The sequence below is a fragment of the Homo sapiens genome, chromosome 12 (genome assembly GCF_000001405.40).
Source record: "Homo sapiens chromosome 12, GRCh38.p14 Primary Assembly".
In the NCBI taxonomy this organism is placed as follows: domain Eukaryota; kingdom Metazoa; phylum Chordata; class Mammalia; order Primates; family Hominidae; genus Homo; species Homo sapiens.
The window spans coordinates 50869112-50889333 of record NC_000012.12 but is presented as its reverse complement, the minus strand read 5'-3'; the positions used below and the strand labels follow the sequence as shown (position 1 = coordinate 50889333).

General features: G+C 37.7%; 1 protein-coding gene across 1 annotated transcript in view; it reads right to left on the bottom strand.

The window, feature by feature from the left end:
• Positions 1-1449: 1449 nt before the first annotated feature.
• TMPRSS12 (transmembrane serine protease 12) overlaps positions 1450-20222 on the bottom strand; it is a 44959-nt gene continuing 26186 nt past the window's right edge. The window contains exons 4-5 of the mRNA NM_182559.3: positions 3946-4088; positions 1450-2072 (exon numbers count right to left, since the gene is read on the bottom strand). Of these exons, the coding sequence (NP_872365.2) occupies positions 1821-2072; positions 3946-4088 (395 nt within the window). The 3' untranslated portion in view covers positions 1450-1820. The remainder of the gene's footprint in view (positions 2073-3945; positions 4089-20222) is intronic.

The following is a 20222-nucleotide window of genomic DNA, read 5'->3' as shown; positions in this document are numbered from 1 at the left end:
CCAGGAGATTGAAGCTGCAGGGAGCAATGATTGTGCCATTGCACTCTAGCCTGGGCAACAGAGAGACTCCACCTCCAAAATAAATACATAGATAAGAAACGTAAACCTAAAGAGTAATTAGAAGATGCCTTTAAAGTGAAAAGCAAAGGTTTCTCCTCTAATTCTGGCAGTACATTTTAGAAGAATTTCTTTTTATTAACATTCAGAGCTTTCAAGTGAATCTGAGTGATATTCAGGTAGTATAAATAGGAAAAGACTAGTGCATCATGCTAATTGCTATATAAGCATTACCATCTGTGAGACCTTGTCGATGGATAAACTAGGAGCTCTTTCAAGAAAGAACAACCAACATTCCATCAGTGTTGCTTCGTCTATAAAAAGCATAGTCATATATTCCTTGAGTGGGATAGATAACCCCAATATTAAACCAATAAACAATATCCCAATATTAGCAATATTAACCCAATATTAAATGTTAATATTAAACAACATTAACCCAATATTAAACCAATAAACAATAATCCCAGTGTCAAACCAGTAATGAAAGAAATTAATACATGGGATATTCATGCTTAATTTCATTTAAATCCTGAAATTAGGTTGACACAAAACAACAACAAAGAACACTTGGTTTTAGATGTTGAATGTAAAAAGAAGGATAAGAAAATAACTATTTCTCCTTTGCTAAATGGATTCTCCTAAGTTCAAGGGAAATGAGAGTTGACTAATAGTAGATATAATTCAATCAACATTTTCTTTTGTTTCATTTTTTGTGTGTGTATGATACAGAGTCCAGCTCTGTCGCCCAAGCTGCAGTGGTGCAATCTTGGCTCACTGCAACCTCCACCTCTCGGGTTCAAGCAATTCTCGTGCCTCAGCCTCCCAAGTAGCTGGGATTACAGGCATGCACCACCATGCCTCGCTAATTTTTGTATTTATAGTAGAGACAGGGTTTCACCATGTTGGCCAAGCTGATCTTGAACTCCTGACCTAAGTGATTCTGCCCACCTCGGCCTCCCAAAGTGCTGGGATTACAGGTGAGAGCCACCATGCCTGGCCCTCATTTTCTTTTGTTTCTTTTAATTCATTTTATACATTAGTTATCATAAAGTTTATCCCAGGTTGGCGTCCCTCTTTTACCCGGCATGCTTTCCAGTTGCTGCTCACAGTTAATTCAGAGGCCCCATGGGATACAAAATTTTAGCATGGGCTTCAAGAAAATAAAGTTTAGAAAGTAGGTTATACTCCTGAAAAAAAGTCATAAATTTCTAAATAAAAAGTAAATTATTTGGGGGTGTGTATACCATAGCTCTCTTGGCAGAGGAAATGAAGTACTGATATTAAATAAATGGTTTTAATTAGAATTTAAATAACAGATAAATACTTGTTTCTCTAAATATACTTTGAGAATTGGAAACAAGATTATAATTTAAAAAAATCATACAAACATTTTTTAGAATAAAATCTAAGAAAGAATTTTTATTAATTTAACCAAATGACAGCTTTCATTTTAATTATAAACTATTATTTGGCATTTATACACATAAAATATATGTTTAACTGAATATTTTGTACAAACTCTATGAGTATTCCAGATACAGAATTATGATTATAAAATAATCAAGATATTTCAAGGAGACATGTGATTCAGTGCCAAAATTACAATTGTATATCTGTCACAATACTTATAGCCCATAAAATGTTCACATGAAATCTCTAATGTAGGCAATTAATTGCTAGAAGAATAAATGATGTTCATTATATAGAACATAGAAAGGGACACAATGCAAAATAAAGATATGAAAGCCTTCAGAATTTCTTTATGTTGTTGCTAGTAAGATGACAAAACATAAAGCTATGAGGATCTGGCCACGTAAAATATTTATAGTAAGTATGCCTTGAGTGCTTGCATGGAAGAAATGCTCTGTCAGCCACTTTTGGTAGAAGGATGGCCCAATATAGACACCAGGAAAACCTCTTCGACCACAGCCATGTCCGTAACTGGTAATTCCCATTACAAAAAATCTTTTATATTCTGGTAAGTAGCACATTAATGGTCCCCCACTGTCACCCTGTCAAAAAAGTCCCAAAATAGTGTTTGTTACTTCTAGTATTCTTCAAGCAACAGTAACACTGGAATAAATTATTTACATCAAACATACATTTATATAAATACACATTTTCAATATACCCCCAATTTATAAAGATCACTAGATTTTGAGCTTAAACTTCCAACTCAAACAGGAGGAATTCAATTTTACCCAGGTATTTGGAGGAACCATATAGCTGGTAGATAAATTTCTCATCTGCCTGGTTTTGAGCCAGAATACTATAAATCAAATTGTTTGGATTTTTAAATATAATTACTTAGGAGAAATATAATTTAGGAAGTGTGCAAAATATTGTCAAAACTGTCTATTATTAGAATATTCTCTTGCTGAATACTGCGTGTGGAAAGGATAACTTTAAGATGTATGAAGGATTCTTTTAGGCACGTGTGTGGTTTGCTTGCCAGGGAGAGGAGTAAACTGGCATCTTGCAATAGAAGACAAGTTTCTAAGTGTTGACAATAGCTAGTGCAGGAAAATGAGCATAAATGGCAAAGCCTCTCAGTAGTATTATAAATGACAGGTCACTTTCATAGTCTATACAAAATTAGGAATGCACCCAAATGCTGTTACTAAGGCCTGTTAATGCACTGAAAACAACAAGGACACTGAGATAACTGTTTCCGATTCTCTATATAAGGCAGGCATTGAATAATTATTTTTTGATGATGAGGATGTTTGGCCTAGGAATGCAATTCACTTAGATTGGATTCTTTACTATTTCATTCAGCAAGATTTTTAAGGAAAAGGACACAGAAAAGATAAACTTTAGATTGCAGAAATGAGAATGAGTAGGAAAAGGTGAGAGCATGGGTTACTCAGGAGTGAAGGACTAGTAGCTTTGGAAATAGTGAAGAAAAGAGGAATAAAGGAAGAGTAAAAAAGCATGAGACAAAACAAAAAATGGATCAATTGTACTTCATTAAAAAAATTAACATTTGTGCTGCAAATGATAACCTCAGAAAAGTGAAAAAACAGTCTACAGAATGGGAGAAAAATTTTGTACATTATGTATCTGGTAAGGGACTTGTATCCAGAATATATGAAAAATGCTTATAACTCAGTGATAAAAAGACAACTCAATTTAAAAATGAGGAAGGGATCCAAATAGACATTCTGTAAAGAAGATATATAAATGGCTAATAAATACATGCAAAAATGCTCAACATCATTAGTCATTAAGGAAATGCAAATTAAAACCACTATGAGATACCACTGCGCACCCACAAGGATGGTTATAATAAAAAAGACAGTAACAGGCTGGGCGCAGTGGCTCACCCCTGTAATCCCAGCACTTTGGGAGGCCAAGGTGGGCAGATCACTTGAGGTCAGGAGTTCAAGACCAGCCTGGTCAACAAGGTGAAGCCCTGTCTCTACTGAAAATACAAAAAAAAAAAAAAAGAATGGCCGGGCATAGTGATGTGTGCCTGTAATTCCAGCTACCTAGGAGGCTGAGGGATGAGAATCGCTTGAACCTGGGAGGCAGAGGTTGCAGTGAACAGAGATTGTGTCACTGCACTCCAGCATGGGTGACAAAGCGAGACTATCTCAAATAAAAAAAAAATTGAGCTGTACACTTTTAACTAGGTGAATTATATCTCAAAGGTAATGATTAAAAAAAAGAATTCAAGGTAAATTCTGCCTACTGATGACAGCAGAAACCATGGAATCAGGAACCAAGAAGATTTGGATTGTTGAAATAGTTAAAAAGGAGAAAAAATGATTTATTATTTTTAGGCCTGATAATTAAGACCACCAGAAAGTTATCAAAGGCCTTGTTTGACAAGTTCCCTTCTGGCTTCAGAAAATATTTTAAAGGAAAATTACTTGGTCTTACCCTGCAAGTATCAAAAGCTCCATCTTCATCACCTGCACAAAATGAAGTGTTAGGAATTATTCCCCCATAACTCCTCTCAGAATTACACATCTCTCGAGAAATATAATGCACTTCTGCATCTTGTAAAATATTTGTAGCGTTACCTGTTAACAAAAAATACCAGTAAGTTATCTTGGAGCAGACATTTTTACAGTGATTTAAATGTTAGTGTTTTATGTTTTCTTTCCAAAGTGACTGATGCAATAATTATGTAAAATTATATTCATATATATGTGTATGAATATGTATGTATGCCTAGGAAGATTGTAGAAGAATGTTTACCTAAATGTTTGTTTGTTCGTTTTTGAGATAGAGTCTTGATCTATTGCCCAGGCTGGAGTGCAGTGACGTGATCTCGGCTCACTGCAACCTCTGCCTCCTGGGTTCAAGCAACTCTTGTGCCTCAGCTTCCTGAGTAACTGGGATTACAGGTGTGCAACACCACACCTGGCTAATTTTTTTTTTTTTTTTAATTTTTGAGATGGCGTCTCACTCTGTCACCCAGGCTGCAGTGCAGTGGCGTGATCTCGGCTCACTACAACCTCTGCCTCCCAGGTTCAAGCAATCCTCCTGCCTCAGCCTCCTGAGTAGCTGGGATTACAGGCACTCACCACCATGCCCAGCTAATTTTTGTGTTTTTAGTAGAGATGGGGTTTCACCATGTTGGCCAGGCTGTTCTCGAACTCCTGACTTCAAGTGATCCACTCATCTCGGCCTCCCAAAGTGCTAGGATTACAGGTGTGAGCCACCATGCCTGGCCAGATGTGCCTTTTTATATTCCCACTAGCAAAGTACGAGGGTTTCAAATTCTTCACATCCTCATCAATGCTTGTTATTGTCTAACTTTTTAATTATAGTCATCCTTGTGTGTCATCCCAGCACTTTGGGAGGCTGTTTTAAAATTACTGCTAGTGTATAGAAATGGAGTAGATTTTGTATATGGTCTTATGCTGGCTGTATTACTAAACTCTGTTAATTCCAATGGATTTTAGAGCCTATTTTAGTTACATCATCTGTGACTAATGAATATTTTGTTATTTCCTTTGTAAGTTGTGTGTGTACCTTCTTCTAGTATTAACACACTTGGTAGTACTTCTACAGTATTGAATACAAGTGGAGAAGTTGTTCTTGATTTTAAAGGAATGTTTTACTGTAATGATGTTTGCTGTAGGTTAGAGGTCATTAACCTTAATTAGGTTAAGGAAATTCCCTTCTATGTCTAGACTGTTAAGAGTTTCTAACAATGCTTCTACTGCATTTATTCAGAAAATATTTTTTATCCTTTAACCAATCTGTGATGAATTCCATCAAGAGACTTCTAATTTTATTTATTTATATTATTATTTTTGAGACAGGGTCTTGCCCTCTTGCCTGGGTCCCAGAGTGCAGTGGCACAATTAGCTCACTGCAGCCTCAAACTCCTGGGCTCAAGCAATCCTCCCACCTCAACCTCCCGAGTGCCTGGGACTATGGGCATGTGCCATCATGCCCAGCTAATTGTTATTTTTGGTAGGGATGGGGTCTTGCTGTGTTGCCCAGGCTGCTCTCAAACTCCTGGCTTCAAGTGATCTTCCCACCTTGGCCTCCTAAAGTGCTTGGATTGCAAGCATGAGCCACTGCACCCAGCTGAGACTTCTCATTTTATTTTATTTCATTATTATTTATTTACTTTTTGAGACAGAATCTTGCTGTGTCACCCAGGCTGGAGTGCAGTGACGTACTCACTGCAACCTCTGCTTCTTGGGTTCAAGTAATCCTCCCTCCTTAGTTTCCAAGTAGCTGGGATTACAGGTGTGTACCACCACACCCAGCTAATTTTTAAATTTTTTGTAGAGTTGAGGTCTTGCTATATTGCCCAGGCCATTCTTGAATGGGCCCAAGCAATTCTCCTGCCTTGGCCTCTCAAAGTGTTCGAATTACAGGTGTGAACCACCACAGCTGGCTGACTTCTAATTTTAAACCCTTGGATTCCTGAGATAAACCTAATTTGGTTATGATTAATTCTATTTTTTTTGAGTCAGCGTCCTGCTCTGTTGCCTAGGCTGGTGCCTAGTGTAGTGGCACAGTCATAGGTTGCCACAGCCTCAACCTCCTGGGCTCATGTGATCCTTCTGCCTCAGCCTCTTGAGTAGCTAGGACTACAGGTGTGCACCACTATGCCCAGATAATTTTTTGGTTTTTTTTGTAGCAACAGTGTCTCAGTATGTTGCTCAGGCTGATCTTGAACTCCTGGCCTCAAGCAAGCCTCCTAATTTGGCCTCCCAGAGTGCTGAGATGACAGATGTGAGCCACTGTACCTGACCATCAATTCTATCTATAATATACTTTGTAGATTTAGTGTGTTATTACTAATAATTTGTTTGAAATGCCTGCATTTATAACGTTGGGCTTTCTCTTACTGCGTTTACTTGATTTTGGAATCAATAATATGATTATTTCATACACTGAGCTGGAGTATATTCCTTCCTTTTGTATTCTTTGGAAGCGTATGTATAGGATTTAGATGATCTGTCTCTGGTATTATGGTAGAACTCACTTGTTCTGAGTTCTGGTTTTTTATTTTTGAAAAAGAAATCTACTGATTCAATTCCTTTACACTCTATAGGACTATAGAGGATTTCCATTTCTTCTTTGGTCAGTTTTGGTTAGTTACCATTTTCATATTTAGTCAATTTATTAATTTCAGTTTGGGTTATTTACAAAGGAATTTATTCGTTTTGTCTAAGTACTAAAATTTACAGCATAACATTTTAAAAAGTACTGTGCTATATGTTAGTTCATAATATTAATTTGTATTTGTGCCTTCTTTCCTTTTGTCACCAGTCTTACCAGTGGTTTGTTGTTTTTTCAGAAAACTGGATTTTGGCTTGTTGGTTTTCTCTTTTCTATCTTTATTTTCTGTTCATTAACTGCAGTGCTTACCTTTATGTCTTTTTTTCTGCTTTCTATGGGTTTAGAATGTTCTTTCTTTTTTTAGCCTCCCTCCATAGTAGCTGAGACTACAGACATGTACCACCATGTCTGGCTGTAATATTCTTTTTTTTTTTTTTTTTTTTTTTTTTTAGAGAGATGGGGTCTTGCTCTGTTGCCTAGGCTGGTCTTGAACTCCTGGGCCCAAGCAATTCTCCCACATTGGCCTCCCAAAGTGTTGGGATTACAGGTGTGAACAACTGTGCTTGGCCAGTGCAATGTTTATTTAAACTTTAAAAAAGCTAGACTTTGAATTCATAGTGTTCAGACTTTATTCTTCAATATTAGGTCAAATGTTTGCTCTTCCGTATGATTCAAACTAACTAACTAAATAAACATATATATATATATATATATATATATATATATATATATATATATTTTTTTTTTTTTTTTTTTTTTTTTTTTTTTTTTTTTTGAAGTGGTCTCGCCCTGGGCTGGAGTGCAGTGGCGTTATCTTGGCTCACTGCAACCTCTGCCTCAGGGGTTCAAGTGATTCTCCTGCCCCAGCCTCCCAAGTAGCTGGGATTACAGGCTCACGCCACCACGCCCAGCTAATTTTTTGTATTTTTGGTGGAGACAGGTTTTTTACCATGTTGGCCAGGCTGGTCTCGGACTCTTGACCTCGTGATCTGCCCGTCTCAGCCTCCCAAAGTGCTGGGATTACAGGCGTGAGCCACAGCACCTAGACTCAAACTAAAAATATATATTTCTAAAACTTTAAATTTTATGTTTTACCTCTATCTGCAGCTCTCAAGTTTTGTTATGTACCATATACATTATTGTTCAATTCTAAGTATTTAAAATTATTATGATTTCCTCTTTGACATATGAGTCATTTAGTAGTGTGTTTTGAATTCTCCAAATGTGTGATGTTAAAAAGCTTACCCTTTTGTCATTTTTTTACAGCTTTATTAGGGTTTAATTTACATAACATGAATATCACACATTGTACCAATGCAGTTGAGTGATTTCTGCTAAATTTACACCAGCACCACAATCCAGTTTTAGAGTATTTCCTTCACCTCACAGAGTCCTCCTATGCTCACTTGTAATCAATTCCCAGCTCCAGCCCCACACTTAAGAAATGACTGATGGGCTGGGCTCAGTGGCTCACGCCTATAATTCCAGCACTTTGGGAGGCTGAGGCGGGCAGATTACCTGAGGTCAGGAGTTCAAGACCAGCCTGACCATCATGGAGAAACCCCGTCTCTACTAAAAATATAAAAAATTAGCCAGGCATGGAGGTACATGCCTGTAATCCCAGCTACTCGGGAGGCTGAGGCAGAAGGATTGCTTGAACCCGGGAGGCAGAGGTTGTGGTGAGCTGAGATTGTGCCATGGTACACAGCCTGGGCAACAAGAGCAAAACTCTGTCTCAAAAAAAAAAAAAAAAAAAAAAAAAAAAAAAAAGAAATTACTGATTCCTGTCTCTATAGGTTTGCCTTTTCTTGAAATTTTATATAAATGGAATCACACATTTGTAGTCTTTTGTATATAGCTTCCTTCATTTAGCTATATACCAAGGTTTTCAAGGTTCATCTATATTGCAGGATAGCTTTCTTCCTTTTTGTTGTGGGATAGTGTTCTGTTGAATGGATATATCATGTTTTGTATATCCATTCACTAGTTGGTGGACTTTGAATTGTTTCCTGTTTGGTGTATTATTAATAATGCTATGATGAGCGTTCATAAGTTTTTGTGTGGACATGTTTTCATTTGTCTTTGGTAGATATCCAGGAATGGAATTGCTAGGTCATATGGTAACTATGCTTAACAGGGTAAGTGCATATTTAACTTTCCCAGAAACCGTCAAACTGTTTTCCTAAGTGGCTTTACCATTTTACATTCTCCTCAGCAATGTATAAGGGCTCCAGTTTCTCCACATCCTTACTAACACTTGATTTGTTAGTCTTTTGGATTATCATTCTAGCAGTTGCATAGTGGCATCTCATTGAGGTTTCAAGGATATTAACATAAATATATATTTGAAATGAGGTCTTGCTGTGTCACCCATGCTGGAGTGTAGTACAGCGATCATAGCTCACTGCAGCCTTGAGCTCCTAGGCTCAAGTGACCCTCCTGTGTGTTAGCCTCTCAAGTAGCTGGGACTACAGGCATGTACCACTGTGCCTAGCTAATTTTTGTAGCAATGAGATCTTGCTTTGTTGCTCAGGCTGGTCTCAAACTCCTGGTTGCAAGTGATCCTTTCACCTTGGCCTCCCAAAGCACTGAGATTACAGGTGTGAGCCACTGTACCCAGCCAGTGTTAACAGCTTTTCATGTACTATTAGCCATTTGTATACCTACCTTGGTGAAATGTGTTTTCAAATCTTTTTTGTTTCTGCAAACACTATGGTGACTTATCTTTTCAAATCTTTATCCAATTTTTTATTTTTTAATGTTTTTGTGACAGGCTCTTGCTTTGTTGCTCAGGCTGGAGTGCAGTGACACAATCACAGTTTACTACAGTCTCAACCTCGTGGGCCTCAAGTGATCCTCCCACTTCAGCCTCCTGAGTAGCTGGGACTACAGGCATATACCACCATGCCCTGCTAATTTTTTGGTATTTTTTGTGGAGACGGGGTTTTGCCATGTTGCCCAGGCTGGTCTCAAACTCCTGAGCTCAAGTGATCCACCTGCCTCAGACTCCCAAAGTTTAGGGATTACAGGCATTAGCCTCTTTGCCTGGCCTTAAAACAAATTTTTCCTTAAAAATTCTCGTTAATGATAACAATTTACACATGACTACTTTCAGCCTTCTTTTCTAGTCAGACCCTTCTTAATAAACCATATATTTTGCTTTACATCATTTTGGTTCAGGGAGGCCAATAAAATTACTAATATCATATTGAAATGGAAATGCATGCAACAAAAACGTAATAAGGAAAGGGTTTTCAGAATGATAATAATATGTCAAATTAGCATTTACATTCCTGGCAAAAAGCCAGTTGGTTATGATGTATTATCTTTTTTTATACACTGCTGGAGATATTTGCAGCTCTTTTTCCATTGATTTTCTTAATGGTGGCTTTTGAAGAGGATACATGTTTAAATTTTGATGAAGTCCAATTTATCATTTTTATTTTTATTAATGGTTGTGCTTTTGGTGTCCTAAGAAATCATCGCCTAATCCAATGACTCAAGGACTTTCTCTTTGCTTTTTTCTAGAAGTCTTGCAACTGTAGCTCTTATACTTAGGTCTATGATCCATTTTGAGTTAATTATTTCTCTAAGTCTCTTTGTGCTGCTAAAATATGTCATAGACTGCTTATAAACAGTTGCTTAATAAACAACAGGAATTTATTTCTCACAATTCTGGATGCTGAAATTGAAGATCAAGGCACTGGCAGATTCGGTGTCTGATTAGGGCCATTTTCTGGTTCATAAGTTGTGACTTCCAGCTGTATCCTTACGTGGTGGAAGGGCAAGGCAGCTTTTTGGGGCCTCTCATATAAGGGCACTAATCTCGCTGATGAGAGCTCTGCCCTCTCAAAAGGCCCTACTTCCTAATATCATACCTTGGGAGTGAGGATTTCAACATATGAATTTTGGATGGACACAAACATTCAGATTGTACCACTATTGAATATAGTACGGAGAAAAGCTCCAAGGGTTTTTTTTCGCGGCGTAAGGATATCCAGTTGTCCCAGCATCATTTGTTGAAAAGACTGTTTTCCATTATATTGCCTTGGCACTGTTGTGAAAATCAACTGGCCATAAATATAAGGTTTTTTTTCCCCCTCCATGTTGTGTTCCATTAATCTACAGTCTATCTTTCAAAAATTAAATTAATTTTTTTAGAGATGGTCTCATTGTGTTACCCAAGACTGAAGTGCAGTGACATGATCATGGCTCACTGAAGCCTCAAACTCTTGAGCTCAAGTGACCTTCTTGCCTCAACCTTCCAAGTAGCTGGGACTATAGCTGCGTACCACCACACCTGTTTTTTTTTATTTTTGCAGAGATAGGGGCTCACCGTATTGCGCAGGCTGGTCTTTAAATTCCTGGGCTCAAGCCATTCTCTTGCCTTGGTCTCCCAAAATGCTGGGATTACAGGCATGAGCCACCACTCCCAGCCTCTACAGGTCTGTCTTTATCCCAATGTGTTGATTGCTGTGGTTTTATAATACGTTTTGAAATCAGACAGTCTAACTCCTTCAGTTTTTTTTTTTTTTTCCCCAAAATAATTTTGGCTATTCTAGATCCCTTGCCTTTCCATATACATTTTAGGATCGGCTTGTTAGTTTGCACGAAAAATCCTACTGGCATTTTGATAGGCCAATCTGTGAATAATTGCCGTATTAACAACATTGAGTCTTCTAACCCATGAATGCAGTATGAGTCTCCATTTAGTTTAAGTCTTCTTTAATTTCTCTAAGTGATGTTTTTGTAGTTTTCAGTGTACAAGTCTTACACATCTTTTGTTAAATCTGTTCCTAATTATTCATTATTTTAAATGCTATTATGGGCCGGGCATGGTGGCTAATGTCTGTAATCCCAGCACTTTGGGATGCCAAGGCAGGCGGATCACTTGAGGCCAGGAGTTTGAGACCAGCCTGGCCAACATAGTGAAACCCCGTCTCTACTAAAAATACAAAACTTAGCCACGCGTGGCGGCGCATGCCTGTAATCCCAGCTACTCAGGAAGCTCAGGAGGCTGAGGCATGAGAATCGCTTGAACCTGGGAGGCAGAGATTGCAGTGAGCTGAGATTGCACCATTGCACTCCACCCTGGGTGAAAGAGTGAGACTGTCTCAAAAAATAAAAATAAATAAATAAACGCTATTATGAATGGAATTGTGTTCTTAAATTTTGTTTTCAGATAGTTTATTGCAAGTATAGACATATTGATTTTTGTCTTCCTATAACCTCAACGAACTTGTTTTACTAGATTGTTTTGTAGATTCCTTAAGCATTTCTACATTTACATAATCATGTCATCTGTGAATAAAGTTTCCCTTTTTGATTTCCAATTTGTGTGCCTTTAATGTCTTTTTCTTGCCCATTGCACAGGCTAAAATCCTTGCTTTGTTCCTGATTTTATAGGGAAAGCATTCATTATTTTACCATTAGGTAGGATGGTTAGCTTATTCTTTATAGATGCTCTTTATCAGTTTAAGCTTCCTTCTACTGCTATTTTTTTAAAAAAAGAATTTCAACTTTTATTTCAGATTCAGGGGATACGTGTTACCTAGATATATGCATGATGCTGAGGTTTTGGGTACAACTGATCCTGTCACCCAGGGTATAATTGAACCCATATACTGAGCATAGTACCCCCAAATTAGCTTTTTAGCCCTTGGCCCCTCCCTCCCATCCTCTTTTAGTAGTCCCTGGTGTCTTTTGTGACCACCTTTATGTCCATGAGTACCCACTATTTACCTCCCACTTATAAGTGAGAACATGCAGTATTTGGTTTTCTGTTCCTGTGTTAATTCACTTAGGATAATGGCCTCCAACTCCATTCATGCTGCTGCAAAGGACATGATTCTGTTTTTTTATGGCTGTATAGTATTCCATGGTGCATATGTACCACACTTTCTTTATCCAGTCTTTTTTTTTTTTTTTTTTTTGAGACAGAGTCTTGATCTGTCACCCAGGCTGGAGTGCAGTGGCACGATCTCTGCTCCTTGGAAGCTCCGCCTCCCAGGTTCACGCCATTCTCCTGCCTCAGCCTCCTGAGTAGCTGGGACTACAGGCGCCCGCCACCACACCCAGCTAATTTTTTGTATATTTAGTAGAGACGGGGTTTCGCCGTGTTAGCCAGGATGGTCTCGATCTCCTGACCTCATGATCTGCCCGCCTCAGCCTCCCACAGTGCTGGGATTACAGGCGTGAGCCACCGCACCCGGCCTATCCAGTCTATTGTTGATGGGCACCTTGGTTGATTCCATGTCTTTGCTATTACAAACAGTGCTGCGATGAACATAGGAGTGCATGCGTCTTTTTGGTAGAATGATTTATATTCCTTTGGATAGATACAGAGTAATAGGATTGCTGGGTGCAGCGGTGATTCTGGTTTAAGTTCTTTGAGAAATCTCCAAACTGCTTTCCACAGAAGCTGAACTAATTTCTATTCCCACCAGCAGTGTGTAAGCATTCCTTTCTCTCACAGCCTTGGCAGCATGTTTTTTGGTTTTTTTAGCAATAGCCATTCTGATTAGTGTGAGATAGTATCTCATTATGGTTTTGATTTGCATTTCTCTGATGATTAGTGATGTTTAACATTTTTTCATGTGTTGTTGGCTGCTTGTATGTCTTTTGAGAAGTATCTGTTCATGTCTTTTGCCCGTGTTTTAATGGGGTTAATTGGTTTTGGCCTGTTCAATTGTTTAAGTTCTTTATAGATCCTGGATAGTAGACCTTTGTAGGATATGTAGCTTGCAAGTATTTTCTCTCATTCTGTAGGTTGTCTGTTTCCTCTGTTGATAGTTTCTTTTGCTGTGCAGAGGTTTTTCAGTTTAATTAGTTCCCACTTGTCAATTTTTGTTTTTGTTGCAGTTGCTTTTGAGGACTTAGTCATAAACTCTTTCCCAAGGCCAATGTCCAGAATGGCGTTTCTTGGGTTTTCTTCTAGGATTCTTGTAGCTTGAGCTCTTACATTTAAATCTTTAACCCATCTTGAGTTAATTTTTGCATATGGTGATAGGATAGAGGTCTGGTTTCATTCTTCTGCATATGGCTAGCCAGCTATCCCAGCACCATTTATTGAATAGGGAGTTCTTTGCCCATTGTCTTTGTCAAAGATCAGATGGTGTGTGGCTTTATTTCTGGGATGTCTATTCTGTTCTATTGGTCTATGTGTCTGTTTTTGTAACAATACCATGCTGTTTTGGTAACAATACCATGTTGTTTTGGTTACTGTAGTCTTTTTTTTTTTTTTTTTTGAGATGGAGTCTTGCTCTGTCGCCCAGGCTTGAGTACAGTGGCATGATCTCAGCTCACTGCAACCTCCCCTTCCACGTTCAAGCGATTCTCCTGCCTCAGCCTCCCAAGTAGCTGGGATTACAGGTGTGTGCCACCACACCTGGCTAATTTTTGTATTTTTAGTAGAGACGAGGTTAGAACCATATTGGCCAGGCTAGTCTCAAACTCCTGACCACAAGTGATCCGCCCACCTTGGCCTCCCAAAGTGCTGAGATTATAGGCAAGAGTCACCATGTCCAATGTTACTGTAATCTTATAGTATAGTTTGAAGTTGGGTAATGTGATGCTTCCAGCTTTGTTCTTTTTGCTTAAGATTGCTTTGGCTACTTGGGCTCTTTTTGGGTTCCATATACATTTTAGAAAAGTTTTTTCTAGACCTGTGAAAAAACAACATTGGTAGCTTGATAGCAATATCATTGAATCTATAGACTGATTTGGGCAGTATGGACATTATAATGATATTGATTTTTCCTGTCTATGAACATGAAATGTTTTCGCATTTGTTTGTGTCATCTATGATTTCTTTCAGCAGCATTTTGTAGTTCTCCTTGTAGAGATCTTTCGCCTCCTTGGTGAGATGTATTCCTAGGGATTTTTTTGTATGTTTGTTTTTTGTTTTTTTGGTGTGTGTGGCTATTTTAAATGACATCGCATTCTTGATTTGGCTCTCAACTTGAATGTTATTGATGTATAGAAATGCTACTGATTTTTGTACATTTATTTTGTATCCTGGAACTTTACCAAAGTCATTTATCAGTTCCAGGAGCCTTTGGTGGAGTCTTTAGGGTTTTCTAGGCATAGAATCATACCATTAGTGAAGACAGATAGTTTGGCTGCTTTTCCTATTTGGTTACCTTTTATTTCTTTCTCTTGCCTAATTGCTATGGCTAGGACTTCTTATTGCTATTTCTTTTGAGAATTTTTAAACTTAGAATGGTGTTGGATTTTATCAAATACATTTTCCACATTATTTGCAGTGATCTTGTCATTTTTATCTTTTATTAATATAGGCTTTATTTTATTTTATTGATTTTCAGATGTAAAACCAAACTTGCATTTTTTGAAGAAATTCCACTAGGTAGTGTATATAATCCTTTTTTATATGTTGCTGTATTCAGTTTGCTAACATTTTGTTGATGATTTTTGAGTCTTTATTCATGAAAGCTGTTTCTCTGTAGTTTTCTTGTAATGTTTTTGGTTTGGTGTCAGGATAATAATACTAGGCTTATATAATTATCTGGGAAATACTCCCTTCTCTATTTTCTGAGTGTGTAATATTAGAACTATCTCTTCCTAAAATATTTGATGTAATTCACCTGTGAAGTGAACTGGGCTTGGGTTTTTTTTAAATGGGAAGACTTTAAATTACTAATTATATTTATGTACTTGTTACAAGTTTATTCAGATATTCATTTCTTCTTGAGCCAGTTATAATTTTTTTCCTTTTAGGAATTTATTGCTATTACTAAAATTTGACCATTTATGTGTAACAAATATAATGTTAATCAGTATTTAAATACTTCTCCTGAATAATACAGGGACCTGAAACCAGTTTGACTCTGATCACCCCTCCTGAAATACCTGCCTTTCCTCCACAACTTAGACATTATTTTTATGATTTTAAGGTTTCTGTCTTGCTACTACTGACATTTTGGGCCTAACAATTCTTTGTGTGGGAGATGGGAGAACTATACTATGCATTGAAGGATGTTGAGCAGATGCCAGTAGCAAACTTATCCGCTTGCCCAGTTTTAACATCCAAAAATTTTCTCCAGATATGTTACCAAATGTTCCCTGGGGGCAAAATTATGCCCAAGTGAGAACAACTGTTGTGTACGGAGAATGTTTATTTACATTTACCTATATATTATCCATGTCTTTTTTTGTTCCTTCTTACGTCTTATACTTCCCTTTTAGCATCATTTACATTCTTTCTGATATTTCTTTTACTTCCTTGGTGAAAGACTGTTGGTAGTAAATTCACTTTTTGTTCACAGATATTATTGAATGATAGTTTTGCTGGATACACAATTGTAGGCTCATAGTTACTTTCTCTCAGCATTTTGAAGATATTTCATTGTCTTTTGGCTTTCTTTTTTATTTTATTTATTTTTCCATAGGTTATTGGAGTACAGGTGGTGTTTGGTTACAAGAGTAAATTCTTTACTGGTGATTTGTGAGATTTTGGTGCAACCATCACCTGAGAAGTATACACTGCACCCTATTTGTAGACTTTTATCCCTCGCCCCCCTCCCACCCTTTCCCCTGAGTCCCCCAAGTCCATTGCATCATTCATATGCCTTTGCATCCTCATAGTTTAGCTCCCACATATCAGCGAGAATATATGATGTTTGGTTTTCCATTCCTGAGTTACTTCACTTAGAATAATAGTCTCCAATCTCATCCAGGTCGCTGCGAATGCCGTTAATTCATTCTTTTTTATGGCTGAGTAGTATTCCATCATATATATACGTCATATATATGTACATATATATACGTCATATATATGTACATATATACATCATATATGTACATATATAGTCATATATATGTACATATATACGTCATATATATGTACATATATAGTCATATATATGTACATATATAGACGTCATATATATGTACATATATACGTCATATATATGTACATATATACGTCATATATATGTACATATATACGTCATATATATGTACATATATAGACGTATATATATGTACATATATACGTCATATATATGTACACATATACGTCATATATATGTGCATATACGTCATATATATGTACATATACGTCATATATGTACATATACGTCATATATATGTACATATATACGTCATATATATGTACATATACGTCATATATATGTACATATATATGGCATATATATATATTTTTTTCACAGTTCCTTTTTTTTTTTTTTTTTTTTTTTGAGACGGAGTCTCGCTCTGTCGCCCAGGCCAGACTGCGGACTGCAGTGGCGCAATCTCGGCTCACTGCAAGCTCCGCTTCCCGGGTTCACGCCATTCTCCTGCCTCAGCCTCCCGAGTAGCTGGGACTACAGGCGCCCGCCACCGCGCCCGGCTAATTTTTTGTATTTTTAGTAGAGACGGGGTTTCACCTTGTTAGCCAGGATGGTCTCGATCTCCTGACCTCATGATCCACCCGCCTCGGCCTCCCAAAGTGCTGGGATTACAGGCGTGAGCCACCGCGCCCGGCCTTCACAGTTTCTTTAACCACTAGTTGATTGATGGGCATTTGGGTTGGTTCCACGATTCTGCAATTGCGAATTGTGCTGCTATAAACACGCGTGTGCAAGTTTCTTTTTTGAATAATGACTTCTTTTCTTCTGGGTAGATACCCAGTAGTGGGATTGCTGGATCAAATGGCAGTTCTACTTTCAGTTCTTTAAGGAATCTCCACACTGTTTTCCATAGTGGCTGTACTAGTTTACATTCCCACCAGCAGTGTAGAAGCATTCCCTGATCACTACATCCATGCCAACATCTACTGTTTTTTTTTTTAATTTTTTGATTATGACCACTCTTGAAGGAGTAAGGTGGTATTGCATTGTGGTTTTGATTTGCATTTCCCTGATCATTAGTGATGTTGAGCATTTTTTCATATGTTTGTTGGCCATTTACATATTTTCTTTTGAGAATTGCCTATTCATGTCTTTAACCTATTTTTTGATGGGATTTTTTTTGCTTGCTGATTTGTCTAAGTTTGTTGCAGATTCTGGATATTAGTCCTTTGTCAAATGTATAGATTGTGAAGATTTTCTCTCACTCTGTGGGTTGTCTGTTTACTCTGCTGACTGTTCCTTTTGCCATGCAAAATCTCTTTAATTAAGTCCCAGCTATTTATCTTTGTTTGTATTGCGTTTGCTTTTGGCTTCTTGGTCATGAAATCCTTGCCTAAGCCAATATCTAGAAGGGTTTTTCCAGTTATCTTCTAGAATTTTTATACTTTCAGGTCTTAGATTTAAGTCCCTAATCCATCTTGAGTTGATTTTTGTACAAAGTGAGCGACAAGAATCCAGTTTCATTCTCCTACATGTGGCTTGCCAATTATCCCAGCCCCATTTGTTGAAAGGGGTGTCCTTTCCCCATTTTACGTTTTTGTTTGCTTTGTTGAAGATCAGTTGGCTGCAAGTATTTGGGTTTATTTCTGGGTTCTCTATTCTGTTCCATTGGTCTATGTGCCTATTTTTATACCAGTACCATGCTGTTTGGGTGACAATGGGCTTATAGTATAGTTTGAAATCAGGTTGTTTGATGCCTCTAGATTTGTTCTTTTTGCTTAATCTTGCTTTGGCTTTGTGGGCTCTTTTTTGGTTCCATATGAATTTTAGAATTCTTTTTTATAATTCTTTGAAGAATGATGGTGGTATTTTGATGGGGATTGCATCGAATTTATAGATTGCTTTTGACAGTATGGTCATTTTCACAATATTGACTCTACCCATCCATGAGCATGGGATGTGTTTCCATTTGTTTGTGTCATCTATGATTTCTTTCAGCAGTGTTTTGTAGTTTTCCCTGTAGAGGTCTTTTGCCTCCTTTGTTAGGTATATTCCTAAGTATTTTTTTTTTTTTTTGCAACTATCATGAAAAGGGTTGAGTTCTTGATTTGATTCTCTGCTGTTAGTATATAGGAGAGCTACTGATTTGTGTACATTAATCTTGTATCTGGAAACTTTGCTGAATTCTTTTATCAGTTCTAGGAGCTTTCTGGAGGAGTCTTTAGGGTTTTCAAGGAAAATAATCATATTGTCAGCAAACAGTGACACTTTGACTTCCTCTTTACTGATTTGGATGCCCTTTATTTTTTTCTCTTGTCTGATTCCTCTGGCTAGGACTTCCAGTACTATGTTGAAGAGGAGAGGTGACAGTGGGCATCCTTGTCTTGTTCCAGTTCTCAGAGGGAATGCTTTCAACTTTTCCCCATTCAGTATTATGTTGGCTGTGGGTTTGTCATAGATGGCTTTTATTACATTGAGGTATATCCCTTGTATGTTGATTTTGCTGAGAGTTTTAATCATAAAACGATGCTGGATTTTGCCGAATGCCTCTTCTGCATCTATTGAGATGATCATGTGATTTTTTTTTTTAATTCTGTGTATGTAGTGTTTCACATTTATTGACTTGTGTATGTTAAACCATCCCTGGATCCCTGATATGAAACCCACTTGATCATGGTGGATTATCATGGTTTTTGTTTTGTTTTGTTTTGTTTTTTGTTGTTGTTGTTGTTTTGAGATGGAATCTCCCTCTGTTGCCCAGGCTGGAGTGCAGTGGCACAATCTTGGCTCACTGCAACATCTGCCTCCCGGGTTCAAGCAATTCTCCTGCCTTAGCCCCCTGAGTAGCTGGGAGTCTCCCTCTGTCGCCCAGGCTGGAGTGCAGTGGCACGATCTCAGCTCACTGCAACCTCCGCCTCCTGGGTTCAAGCAGTTCTCCTGCCTCAGCCTCCTAAGCAGCTGGGATTACAGGCGCCTGCAACCATGCCCAGCTAATTTTTCTAATTTTAGTAGGGACAGGGTTTCACCAAGTTGGCCAGGCTGGTCTCAAACTCCTGACCTCAGGTGATCTGCCCACCTTGGCCTTCCAAAGTGCTGGGATTACAGGTGTGAGCCACTGTGCCCAGCTGGTGGATTATCTTTTTGATATGTTGTTGGATTTTGTTAACTAGTATTTTGTTATGGGTTTTAGCACCTATGTTCATCAGGAATAGTGGTCTGTAGTTTTCTTTTTTGGTTATGTCCTTTCCTGGTTTTGGTATTAGGGTGATGATGGCTTCATAGAAAGAATTAGGGAGGAATCTGTCTTTCTCTATCTTGTGGAATATTGTCAAAAGGATTGGTAGCAATTTTTCTTTGAATGTCTGGTAGAATTCTGCCATGAATCCATCTGATCCTGGATTTTTATGGTTGGTAATTTTTAAATTACCATTTCAATCTCGCTACTTTTTATTGGTCTGTTCAGGGTATCTATTTCTTCCTGATTTAAGCTAGGAGGGTTGTATTTTTCCAGGAATTTATCCACTCCTTCTAGATTTTCTAGTTTATGTGCATAAAGGTGTTCATAGTAGCACTGAATGATCTTTTGTATTTCTGTAGTGTCAGTTGTAATATCTCCTGTTACGTTTCTTATTGAGGTTATTTGGATTTTCTTTCTTCGTTTCTTGGTTAATCCTGCTAATGGCCTATCAATTTTATTTATCTTTTCAAAGAACCAGCTTTTTGTTTCACTTATCTTTTGTATTTTTTTTTTGTTTCAATTTCATTTAGTTCTGCTCTGATCTTCGTTGTTTCCTTTCTTCTGCTGGGTTTGGGTTT